The following is a 13,142-nucleotide window of genomic DNA, read 5'->3' on the forward strand; positions in this document are numbered from 1 at the left end:
TCCGCTTGTCTCGCTCAGCTCTCGAGCCACACGCCCTGGGCTCCGCCCACTCCCTGACAACATCCCTCCTGCCCATTGGGCGAGCATGGACGGGGCTGTCCAATGGAGCGAGGCGTTGGTGCGAGGAGGCGCCGCCATCTTGGGGCTGCTGGGACTCGCGTCGGTTGGCGACTCCCGGACGTAGGTAGTTTGTTGGGCCGGGTTCTGAGGCCTTGCTTCTCTTTACTTTTCCACTCTAGGCCACGATGCCGCAGTACCAGACCTGGGAGGAGTTCAGCCGCGCTGCCGAGAAGCTTTACCTCGCTGACCCTATGAAGGTAAATCGCTGGCGGGGCCGCTGCTTTGGGCCCCAGCCCAGGATGTCTTCCCGCCATCCACTCGGCCCCTGGAGCTTCCCCAGCGCTCCCAGGAGGTGCTGGGAATGAACACAAATGGACCCTGCCAAGTTAATGTTCTGCTCTCTCGTCCCCTTCTTCCCTGATCTAGCGGCCCAGTGAGGCCCTGAAGCTGGCAACAGCCAGGTTCATCTCAGCCCTAAACATTTCTGCAATCGATCTTCCCGCCCCAGTCCCTCAGCTTCCTTTATGGCTTCGGTTGTTTTACGAGTCCCTGAAGCCAGGGCTCCTCCCCCTGCAGCTTCCTGTCCTTTGTCTTGGTTCACTTTTCCTGTACCGCCTAGGCGGTAAGGGTACCTCATGTATATAAAACTGATGATGTTTTTTCTACTACCGCTCAGACATTCTTGAAAGATTCCAATTTGGAAGCATCTGTACCCCCCAGAATATTGGTTCTTAGTATTTTGGGAGTCACAGGCTTTGGGACCATAAGAATAATATTTGCACCTTTCCTCAGAAAAATGGTATAAGTAAATGTATAAGTAAATGTTTGCAAACAATTTTAAGGGATTCATGGACCTCTGAAATACATTCTTAGCCCCCACAAAAATTATAATGGAGGTGGATGTCAGAGGTTAGCTCATTATTAAAAAGCAAAGGAGTCCAAGTGATGGGAGTTTAGCATTCGGGTCTTACTTTTCGTCTCTTGAGGTTTTGGTTATTTTATTGTCATGTCTAAGAATTATTTGAAGCATCTTCGTGTTAATTAAAAGTTCTGCTTCTTTTTAGAACTCAGCATATTGAAGGGATTTTATACTGAAAACCTCAGACCTGGTTATGTATGATGCTTCTTTTGTTTTGTGTTTGTTGTAACTCAGTTATCTCTTTTATGCTGCATTCATTTCCCACTCTCGTGTTACTGACCCCAAGTTAAATTAGGTTCTGTGGGAGACACAAAGGTGAATGAGATTCCGTTCAACCCTTAAGGAGCTGGTATTATTGGAGGGTATTATAGATCCAGTGTATTGTGACTGTATCCCTCGGAGAAGAAAGAAAATTAAAAGCAGATAAAATCTCGGAAAACCGGGGCTCAGGATCTTTTTTTTTTTTTTTCAATAGTTTTATTTTTTTTGAGACGAAATCTCGCACTGTCGCCCGGACTGGAGTGCAATGGCTCAATCTCAGCTCGCTGCAACCTCCACTTCCTGGGTTCAAACGGTTCTCCTGCCTCAGCTTCCCGAGTAGCTAGGTTTACAGGCGCCTGCCACCACACCTGGCTAATTTTTTGTATTTTTAATAGAGGCGGGGTTTCACCATCTTGGCCAGGCTGGTCTGGAACTCCTGACCTCGTGATCCACCCGCGTTGGCCTCCCAAAGTGTTGGGATTACAGGTGTGAGCCACTGCGCCCAGCCCAGGGCTCAGGATTTACTGTGTGAAACTATTGATGATCATTAAGTAATATGAATTATGTTTTAAGTGTATGCAGTGAGCTGGTAACCTGTAACTCCAATGCCACATACAGTTTATAGTGCATATAAGTTTAAAGTGTGCAGCAAGAAATGTTGATAATTATGATTAAAAATAGTATTAGACCCACAGAAAGACCTAGCTAAGTAACAAGCTGTAAAACATACTTCTATTTTTTACAATAAAATGATACAATAATAAATGATGGAAATTGTATTTTTTAAATTGAGTAATTTGTTTATAACACTGGTGACTTCTGGTTGCTTCATTTGGTTAGCTTCCCTTGTTGGCAGGGTCATTTGTTTCTTCATTCAGACAATGCTACTCTGAGACCACACAGGACTTTTATCCAGAAGTACCCACAGTATAAACTAAAAATACTTGAGACAACAGTAAAGAATATATAAATTCACATCAAGAGTAACTGTACTGTAAGAATGTGATGGCAGTGGTAGGGAAAATGAAAATAATTAGAGCATCACTGTGAGCAAAGCATGTCTAGAATAGACAAGAAAGAGAATATTTCACCTCTTACCCAGTCAGAAAATTGCAGTTGGCACAGGCTGGAGTGCAGTGGCACAAATCACAGTTCGCTGCACCATTGAACTGGGCTCGAGTGATCCTCCCACCTCAGCCTCCTGAGTAGCTGAGACTACAGACATGCCACCATGCCTGCCTAATTTTTTTTTTTTTTTTTTTTTTTTTTAAAGACGGGGCTCTTGCTTTGTTGCCCAGGTTGGTCTTAAATCCTTGCCTCAGGTGATTCTCCTGCCTCAGCTTCCCAAGTAGCTGGGATTACAGACACAAGCCATGGCGCCTGGCTTGACTGATATGTTGAGAGGGGAGAGGATGAGTGTAGAGGAAGAGCTTAACAGTTTTTTTTGTTTGTTTGTTTTCCAAGATGGAGTTTTGTTCTTGTTGCCCAGGCTGGAGGGCAGTGGCGCCATCTTGGCTCACTGCAACCTCCGCCTCTACGTGACAGGCATTTTACATATGTTTATATGTTACAGGCATTTAATATATATTTATGTGTGTTTACATAGATTTATACATAATATATGAACAATTACAGCAACCCATCAAAGTATATAAATGAATGATTTTATATCTGTTAAGTGATATACCTAGTTTCTTGAGAGATTAAGATGAAATTTGGACCCAGATCTTTGAACCCCAAGTCCATTCTCTTTCTGCTAGGGCTAAAGAACAAATTTTGTCAGGTCTCTGGAATCTGTTTTCCAAAATTCTCTGTCTTCTCTCCGCAACACATTTAACCTGTTGATTATACCCAGTATCTTTTTACCACTCTGTCTTGTATTGCTGTAATTGAAGATGGCATTACCACTGGATTATGTAATAACCTCTTTGTTGGTCTGTCAGCCTTTTTAGTTCCTTAACACTCTTGCCACAACTGTCTAAAAAACAAAAGTTGAATTCTTCATCTCCTGCTTAAAAACTGGCTCTTTGATAACTGGATATAGTCCCAACTCCCAGTCACAGTCTGACCCATCTCCAGTCTTTCTGGCTTTGTCTCACCATTTTCATGATCTTCAGCTCTAGTCTCATGAAGCTACCGGATTGTATCCTTGTTCAGAATGATTTTTAGCCTTTCTTCTGCCTTCTTCTATAAGGTTAAAACAAAAAAAGCATTTCAAAGCCACCTCCTTTTTTAGACTTTCCTTTTTCCCAGTCTAAGTTACTTGTTTTCTCTCTTTAGCATTTTATCTGTATATCCCTTTATAGGACTTAATTCATTCTGTCCTTGTGTTTTGGTTATTTTTGGTAAAGAACCTTGATTTTTCTTTCTTTATGGCATCTGACATGGTGACTTGGCACCCTCTAAATTACCAAATGGACCCTTTTATAAACACGATTGGCCTTTTTTCTTTTCTTTTTCTTTTTTTTTTTTTTTTTTTTTGAGACAGAGTTTTGCTTTTGTTGTCCAGGCTGGAGTGCAGTGGTGCAATCTCAGCTCACTGCAACCTCCGCCTCCCGAGTTCAAGCGATTCTCCTGCCTCAGCCTCCCGAGTAGCTGGGATTACAGACACCCACCACCATGCCCAGCTAATTTTTGTATTTTTAGTAGAGACGGGGTTTCACCATGTTGGCCAGACTGGTCTCGAACTCCTGACCTCGTGAGTGAACTCCTGCCCTCCCAAAGTGCTGGGATTATAGGCATGAGCCACTGCACCCAGCCATGATTGGCCTTTTAACTCTCATTTCTCCTAAATGAAACCAGTGAGTGTTCCTTTAACTGAGAGTTAAAACTTCACATAGTTGTCATGCTTAGTATATTTTTAAGTGTTTCGTTTCTAGAGAACTGAATTTTTAAAATGTGTAAAACTGAATTTACTAGATAAATAAATAGAATCAGGTATTCTAAAGATAATTAACCTAGTTACTACTATTTATACCTGCTTAAATGCTTGATGAGTTCCCTTTCCTCCTTCACTCAGACAAATCGCATATAGTGATGTAACTTTTTTTTTTCAGTCTCAGGAATGCAAAGACCGTAATGGGGAAAGCTGTAGGTTGCAGTTCCATTAGCCCTTTTTATTTAGTTTCCAGAATTGTCTTGAGGCCTCTGGTGCTAGATTGTAACCATTTTAAAATTATGTTTCTGTTCTGGCTTGTAGATAAGTAGCAGTTTTTATTTTATTTTATTTTATTTATTTATTTTTTTTGAAATGGAGTCTCGCTCTGTCCCCAGGCTGGAGTGCAATGGTGCGATCTCGGCTCACTGCAAGCTCCACCTCCCTGGTTCACACCATTCTCTTGCCTCAGCCTCCCGATTAGCTGGGACTGCAGGCACTCATCACCACGCCCGGCTAATTTTTTGTATTTTTTAGTAGAGACGGGGTTTCACCGTGTTAGCCAGGATGGTCTCAATCTCCTGACTTTATGATCCACCCGCCTTGGCCTCCCAAAGTGCTGAGATTACAGGCGTGAGCCACCGCGCCTGGCCGATACTTAGCAGTTTTTAAAACAGCTAGCTAAACAAGAGTTACTGATACTGGTTAGGGAAAAACTGCGATACACTGTGCTTGAATCCATCACTGAAAAAAAATAATGTTCGTGGAAGTGTTCTTGGGAGATGTCTTATAGGAATATGCTAATATCTAAATGCCTTGGCAATCTGTAGAATATTGAACATAAAGTATTGTGTAACATGGAACTTCAGTATAGGAGTTATTCTGGTTTTTGGAAAAGTTGTTGGTGGAGACTTCAAGGCAGAATTCTGCTTTTATGTAATAATGCGTTATGTTCTACCTTCGTGATAAAGACCTGATTTTGCTGAATATTTTAGTCTGAATCTGCTTGCTAAGATTTGTGGAAAAATGGAAAGTGTGAGTTGCACTGACCTGCAGCACTGTTTGCTAATGAATGGATTTGGACTTTTTAACTAGCCATTTCTGCTAAATGTTTTCCTCCCTTTCCTGTCATTCCTCTGTGGCTAGGTGTGTTGGTGTATATTCTTATTGGCAAGAAATGCCACCTTATAAGTCTCACAGACATTCCCTGAATGTGGATGTGTTTTGAGAATGTTCAGTACATCTCTTCAAACTGGCTGCAAATAAAATATCCAACTTTTTAAGTCTTAAATAAATGGTAGCAAAGGAATGAACTAAAATAGCTGATTTTTTTTTTAACTTCATTTCGGTTTAGTTTATAGTAAAAATGCCTTTAGATGTTTGGGGGTATTTATTCTAAAAGGATCCTTTTCAGCCTACCTGAAGACTAAATTATTTATAAGAAATGTCATTTGTCTTCACTGTTTCTAAATATGTATTTTTGTTTCAGGCACGTGTGGTTCTCAAATATAGGCATTCTGATGGGAACTTGTGTGTTAAAGTAACAGATGATTTAGTTGTAAGTATACATTTTTATTTGTTACATACTTTCAGATTTGTTTGAGTTAATTATTTGTTTGAAATTATTTACTTAGAGTTTATGGAGATTACCCATTAGGATGCTTATTTTGCATTTCATTTAAAGATGAAGAACCTCATTCTAGCAGCTACTTTTATAGACCCTCAGGAAATTATTTAACCTGCTTTCTTAATGCATTATGTCAAGTGTCTTTAATAAGTGCTGTCTTCAGACCTTAAGCAACAGAAATGTAGAGACCAAATTGGATGTAAGGGAGTAAAAGTTTCCTTTAAATGACAGTGTTTGAACACAACTTACAGGCTTTATTGTATTTCCTGTCTTTGATATGCTCATTCTTGTTACTTCCTCATATCCCATTCATTCCTTAACCCTCTGCCATTTGTTTTCTGCATATGGTACTCCAGCGAAACTGCTCTTTGTGAGAGCACATCAGCAGCTCCTTTCTTTTCAAACCCAGTGGTCTTATTATTCATATGTTATTTGACCTCCTTGCTGCTTTTGATACAGAAGCCCACTCTTTCATAGAAATAATTATTTTGGCACTTGTGGTTCTGTTTTATCTTGGCCTTACTATTCTGTGTTTCTGTTGTTTCATTCTTCTTTGCTGATTGTTTTTTTTTTGATGTGCCCCATATATATGTGCTTCTCTAGGATTCTGTCCTTGATTGTCTTTTCATAACAGCTTCTGGAGCAGTTCATTTAACTGAGTCTAATACTGCATCTGTCTATGTCTACTTGCAAATGTGTGTTTAGTTCATATTCTTCTGACTTTCTGACTAGCATCTGTATCTCACATACCCTCAAAATTCACTTATCTACAGTGGAGTTTATCACCTGTTCTTTTTTTTTTTTTTTTTTTTTTTTTTTTTTTTTTTGAGACGGAGTCTTGCTCTGTCGCCCAGGCTGGAGTGCAGTGGTGTGATCTCGGCTCACTGCAAGCTCTGCCTCCCGGGTTCATGCCATTCTTCTGCCTCAGCCTCCCGAGTAGCTGGGACTACAGGCACCCACCACCACGCCCAGCTAATTTTTTTTTGTATTTTTAGTAGAGACAGGGTTTCACCATGTTGGCCAGGATGATCTGGATCTCCTGACCTCGTGATCCACCCGTCTCGGCCTCCGAAAATGGTGGGATTACAGGCATGAACCACCCCACCCGGCCTATCATCTGTTCTTAAACTAGCTCTTTCTCATGCCTGTAATCCCAGCATTTTGGAAGGTCAAGTGGGCAGATCACAAGGTCAGGAGATCGAGACCATCCTGGCTAACACGGTGAAACCCCATCTCTACTAAAAATACAAAAAAATTAGCCAGGCATGGTGGCGGGCACCTGTAGTCCCAGCTACTCAGGAGGCTGAGGCAGGAGAATGGCATAAACCTGGGAGGTGGAGCTTGCAGTGAGCAGAGATCGTGCCACTGCACTCCAGCCTGGGTGACACAGCAAGACTCCATCTCAAAAAAACAAACAAAAAAACTAGCTGCTTCTTCTGTTCCTACCTTCCTACCTTTAGTTGCATTATTTTCCACGTGGTCAGAAATCTGGGGATTTTTTTTAATTAAAAAAATTTTTTTAGAGACAGGATATCGCTATGTTGCCCAGGCTGGTCTTGAACTCCTGGCTTCAAGCAGTCCTCCCACTCAGCCTCCCAAGTTGCTGGGATTACACACATGGGCCACAGTGCACAGCCCAGAGTGATTTCTATTTAGACGGAGTCTCGCTCTGTTGCAAGGCTGGAGTGCAGTGGGCGATCTCTGCTCACTGCAGCCTCCACCTCCTGGGTTCAAGTGATTCTCCTGCCTCAGCCTCCTGAGTAGCTGGGACTACAGCCGTGCACCACCACGCCCAACTAATTTTTTTTTTTTTTTTTTTTAGTAGAGACGGGGTTTTCACCATGTTGACCAGGATGGTCTCCATCTCTTTACCTCATGATCCACCCACCTTGGCCTCTGAAAGTGCTGAGATTACAGGGGTGAGCCACTGCGCCTGGCCTTTTCTTTTTATTTGTTTGTTTGTTTGATGGAGTCTCGCTCTGTCGCCCAGGCTGGAGTGCAGTGGCGCAATCTCGGCTCACTGCAAACTGCCTCCTGGGTTCACGCCATTCTCCTGCCTCAGCCTCCTGAGTAGCTGGGACTACAGGCGCCCGCCACCACGCCTGGCTAATTTTGTGTATTTTTAGTAGAGACGGGGTTTCACCCTGTTAGCCAGGATGGTCTCGAACTCCTGACCTCGTGATCTGCCCGCCTTGGCCTCCCAAAGTGTTGGGATTATAGGCGTGAGCCACTGTGCCTGGACTTTTTTTTTTTTTTTTTTTTAAAGAAGGAGTCTGGCTCTATTACCCAGACTGGAGTGCAATGGTTCATTCTTGGCTCACTGCAACCTCTGCCTTCCGGGTTCAAGCAATTCTCCTGCCTCGGCCTCCCAAGTAGGTGGGATTACAGGTGGGCACCACCACACCCAGCTAATTTTTGTATTTTTAGTAGAGATGAGATTTCACCATGTCGCCCAGGCGGCTGGAGTTGAACTCCTGACCTCAAGCGATCCACCCACCTCGGCCTCCCAAAGTGCTGGGATTACAGGTGTGATCCACCACGCCCAGCCCCAGAGTGATTTCTGAAAGGCTAATTTGATTGTTACTCCCTTGCTTAGAAACCTTTAAACTCCACCCTTGCATCCTCTCTAATCTCTGTCATTTCTGTATTATGTAAGAGCTCCTTTAATGTGCTGTGATGTGTTAGGCCTCAGTGCTTTCAAACATTCTGTTTCCTCCTTTGCAATATTGAATCCCACCTCCACCCCTAATGTGGCCAGACTGCTGCTTATCTTTCAAAACCCAACTTGAGGATTACTTCATTTCTTGCTTTTCATTTTGGCTTTTTGTGCTGTATCACAATTCTTTTATCACATTTGTCTTTTTAATAGACTGCCCTTCAAGACAATAGAGATAGATCAGTAATATTCTTACATGTCTTATTTCCATTGCCTACTATGATGTCTTGACCCAGAGAGCACTCAGTAAACATTTTTTAAATAGTTAGTTCTTTTGAAAATTTTATAGAGTGATTTTAAAAATCACTTTTTGTCTTTGGTCATATATTGTATTTGTGTTCAGGGTTCCATTATGATGAGACTGCATGAAGTTAGACCTTTTAGTGATTACCATGTCTTCTAAGAACCAATTGAATGTAGTGAGTAGCTAAACATGTGGAAAAGGAAGAGTGAATCGAGATGTAGTATACTAGACATAGATTGAAGAGATGTGAATCCTAGCTTAGTCATTTACTAGCATTTTGGCCTTGGAAAAGTTTAGGCCAAAAATTTAGCCTTCTGGTCTCAATTTCCTCATCTGTAAAGTATCATAGTGATAGTAAAAAAATATATGAAAGTATCTAACATGAGTGCTTACCCTTGGTAGATTGAGTACATGTATTCTTTTGTTTGTTGATTGGTTGGTTGATTGCTTTTTTTTTTTTTTAGAGACAGTGTCTTGCTCTATTGCTCAGGCTGCAGTGCAGTGGCATGATCATAGCTCACTGCATCCTCGACCTCCTGGGCTCAAGCGGTCCTCTTGCTTCAGCCTCCTGAATAGCAGAGACTACAGGTGTGCACCACCACACTCAGCTAATTTTTAAATTTTTTTGTCAAGACAGGGTCTCATTATATTGCCCAGGTTGATCTGGAACTCCTGGACTCAAGCCATCTTTCTGCCTTAGCCTCCCAAACCACTGGGATTATGGGTGTGAACCACTAAGTACTTCTTAAATCTTGACATTCCACACAGAAAAATTTTAATTGTGATTGTCACAGAGTGGTTAGGTATACTTGCTGAAGAAAAACCCCTATGTCCTGTCTTAAAAATAGGGGAATAGGCCGGGCGCGGTGGCTCGTGCTGGTAATCCCAGCATTTTGGGAGGCTGAGGTGGGCGGATCATGAGGTCAGGAGTTCGAGACCAGCCTGACCAACACAGTGAAACCCCGTCTCTACTAAAAATACAAATATTAGCATGGTGGTGGGTGCCTGTAATCTCAGCTACTTGGGAGGCTGAGGCAGGAGAATCGCTTGAACCTGGGACTGGGAGGCAGAGGTTGCAATGAGCCAAGATTGTGCCACTGCACTCTAGCCTGGGTGACAGAACTAGACTCGGTCTCAAAAAAAATAAAATAAGGGAATAAATGCAGAACGAATTTTAATACAAAAGGCCTTATCTCCAATTGATGGCTCTTTTTGCCCTGTTAATGATTGAATATAATTAAGGATCCATGTTAACTTCGACTTTTTTATAATCCCATGTATCCATCATTTTTCTAATCCCATAATTGATTTAGAATACTGTCTTCTATGGACCTAAAATCTTTTTCTGTCAGAAATTTCAGTGAGAAGGTATGTACATTCTCTCATAGGACATGTGCTAAAATTTTGATGATGAAGATTAATATGGCCTTTTTACAAGATTGCCGCACAAATTTGTACAATGCGTGGATAAAAATTTTTTTAAGTGAGTTGTTTAAAAGGCTCACTTAAAAAAATCAGTTGGGCATGATGAGGTTGAACTTCAAGTTATTTAAGTTGTTGACTTTTATTATAGGATCATTAGTTCCTGTTGTTTAAAACTCATGTGAACCTTTAAGATGGGCTGAAGAAAAGTGGATCTGTACTACAAAATGAGGAAAGGGCTGCCAGCTTAAAGTTGCTGTTTTTGAAGATTCTACAACAGATGGCTTTATGACCAACCATAAGCAGATCTTAAGTATCTAGTGAAGAATTTAACTGCTAACAAGGAAGAATTTGGTTTGATTTAAAAGTAATATCTTCAAGCCTGGGCAACATGGAGAAACCCCGTCTCTACTAAAAATAGAAAAATTAGCTAGGTGTGGTTGTGTGTGCCTGTAGTCCCAGCTACTCAGGAAGCTGAGGATCGCTTGAGCCCAGGACGCAGGTTGCAGTGAGCTGAGATTGCACCACTACACCCCCAACCTGGGCCACAGAGTGAGACACTGTCTCAAAAATACATACCTTCAGCAAATCAAGATTTTTTTTTTTTTTTTTTTTGAGACGGAATCTCACTCTGTCGCCCAGGCTGGAGTGCAGTGGCATGATCTTGGCTCACTGCAGCCCTCACTCCTGGGTTCAAGCGATTCTCCTGCCTCAGCCTCCTAAGTAGCTGGGATTACAGGCACACGCCACCACGCCCAGCTAATTTTTGTATTTTTAGTAGAGACGGGGTTTCACCATATTGGCCAGGCTGGTTTCGAACTGCTGACCTGGTGGTCCGCCTGCCTCGGCCTCCCAGAGTGCTGGGATTACAGGCGTAAGCCACCACGCCTGGCCAAGAAAATCAAGATTTACCTGGTTTATGTGTTGACCAGCTATACACAGAGAATTCTAGATTTTTTTCTAAAAATTATTATCAAACCCCCAATTTCACCAGTAGAAAAAGAGATCTTAAGATTTCTGTGTTTTTTTTTCCAGCATAACTCAGTTACTTATGGCTGGGAGAAAATATGTAGGGAGATAATCTAATACCTAATTCGAAGGAAGAAAATATCTAATTCTAAGTCTTGAGTTCTTCTCATCAGACCATAGCAGGATTTAACATTTAACATTTTTCAGAAGCTTCTAATAGACTTCATTCAGTTTTTTGTCCACAGCAGTGGCATTTAAATTACTGTACTTTAAGACATGGAATTGCTGGAGGCTTGGAAACTTGAGTGCAATTTCCCTAGTACGACCTCCAAGGAGAATAGAGCAAAACAGTGGTAGGAAAAACTCTCAAAATTTTACCCAATTGTATGTTTTCTACATTGTCAGTATCTAGTTTTATATAGTTAATATGTACTTCTAAAATTTCTGACAGTGTTTGGTGTATAAAACAGACCAAGCTCAAGATGTAAAGAAGATTGAGAAATTCCACAGTCAACTAATGCGACTTATGGTAGCCAAGGAAGCCCGCAATGTTACCATGGAAACTGAGTGAATGGTTTGAAATGAAGACTTTGTCGTGTACTTAGGAAGTAAATATCTTTTGAATTAGAGAAAGTGTTGGGACAGAAAGTACTTTATGTAACTAAGTGGGCTGTTCAGAAGCTTAGAGGTCATTTTTTGTAATTTTCTTTTTAATTACTTTAGAGAGCTAGGGATGCAAATGTTTTCAGTTAGAAAGCCTTTATTTACTTTTGGAAATTGAACAAGAAATGCATCTGTCTTAGAAACTGGAGATTATTTGATGTTAGGTAAAACATGTAATTGTTTCTCTGGCAAATTTGTATCAGTAATTTGAAAATGAGATATTAGGAAAAACCAATTCTTCTTAAATTTAGTTCATCTTTCTTTAAAAGAACATTAAATGTAACCATTTTGTCAGATCCATGTATTTTGGAGCATAAAATGTATGCTGTTGTGACCAATAAATATAAAATATGGTAATTGGAATTAACTCCACACCATAGTATGCATTGTTATACATACTGTGTACCTAATTATGTATAGCAGTGTAGTCTCAATTATATCTGAAAGTAATTGTGACTAACAAGTATGCTTTGCCTTATTTCCACATTTAAACTACCTGTTAATATAAGGGATTTGTAGTATCAGCTTGTTGAGCAATGACTTTGAATCTAGTTTTCAGTGATCAGAAGCAGCAGTTATTTGAGTGTATGAATGGAATGATGATCACTGTGCTATAATGTACTGAAACCACCATATTACAGAAATATTTACTACATATTTTCCATCTGTAGTTTCTCAGAAGGGCTATGGATTAGTTTGAACTGTCAAATCCTTGCATACTTCTGTGACACCCCTGCCCATTTTCTGTCTTTAATTAACCAAGGTGTTAGGTGTGACTGTCACAACTGTTATGTTTTCCAGTAAACTAGAAGTACGATATTTGATAATTATATTTGTATTTCACCACCTAAATGTAATGTTGATTCCTCAAGAATGAAATGAAGGCACTACATTGAAATATGTTTTGTATAAATTTGTCATGTTGAACAGCATTTTAGCATGGTAAGTTCCCTTAGCTATATGAATTTTGGCATGTTTCAGAGAGATCAGTAAATAAAATATTAGATAAAATATATATTGTTTGTGTTGAAGTTTTTAACTTTTCAGAAATTGTTGATTTCTGAGCTGGGATATACTATATTCATTTAGTCCAAAATGAGCCTAGTAATGCTGAAAGCAAATTTTTTGTTTCTCAGTACTTTATATTATATGACTTTCTCTGCACTATATGTTAATAGCAAGTTTGTTTTCTTGAATTAGAAAAGTAACATCAAATAGTATAGGATTATTTTGGCTTTTTGTTTTTTTTTCCCCCAGAATTAATGGGATCACCATCAGGGGAGGGGAGAGGCTTGACCTTTTTCCCCCTTATTTAACACTACAGAGATGACCTGAAAAGGAGAGACTGGCATTTGGGTTCTTTGAGTCCTGGTAGCGTGTAACAGA

At 40.7% G+C, this 13,142-nt stretch overlaps 1 protein-coding gene across 2 annotated transcripts, besides 2 other annotated features; it reads left to right on the plus strand.

The window, feature by feature from the left end:
* Positions 101–470: an enhancer, noted in NCBI's record as "active region_2629". NCBI's record gives its function as "activates an Ori minimal core promoter by ATAC-STARR-seq in GM12878 lymphoblastoid cells {active_cell/tissue: GM12878}" and the evidence as "EXISTENCE:reporter gene assay evidence [ECO:0000049][PMID:35858748]".
* Positions 131–12,769, plus strand: SRP9 (signal recognition particle 9). Of its 2 annotated transcripts, NM_001130440.2 has the most exons (4): positions 131–317; positions 5,605–5,673; positions 9,167–9,290; positions 11,545–12,769. In NM_001130440.2, the coding sequence occupies exons 1-3, from the start codon at positions 246–248 to the stop codon at positions 9,272–9,274; spliced, it is 249 nt and encodes an 82-aa protein (NP_001123912.1). In that variant the 5' UTR covers positions 131–245; the 3' UTR covers positions 9,275–9,290; positions 11,545–12,769. The 2 variants fall into 2 exon arrangements, with proteins under 2 accessions (NP_001123912.1, NP_003124.1); NM_003133.6 differs by lacking the exon at positions 9,167–9,290.
* Positions 3,854–4,353: an enhancer, noted in NCBI's record as "H3K4me1 hESC enhancer chr1:225969251-225969750 (GRCh37/hg19 assembly coordinates)". NCBI's record gives its function as "activates a minimal SCP1, AML or CMV promoter by ChIP-STARR-seq in naive H9 embryonic stem cells {active_cell/tissue: H9 hESC(naive)}" and the evidence as "EXISTENCE:reporter gene assay evidence [ECO:0000049][PMID:30033119]".
* Positions 12,770–13,142: the final 373 nt, after the last annotated feature.

The sequence above is a fragment of the Homo sapiens genome, chromosome 1 (genome assembly GCF_000001405.40).
Source record: "Homo sapiens chromosome 1, GRCh38.p14 Primary Assembly".
In the NCBI taxonomy this organism is placed as follows: domain Eukaryota; kingdom Metazoa; phylum Chordata; class Mammalia; order Primates; family Hominidae; genus Homo; species Homo sapiens.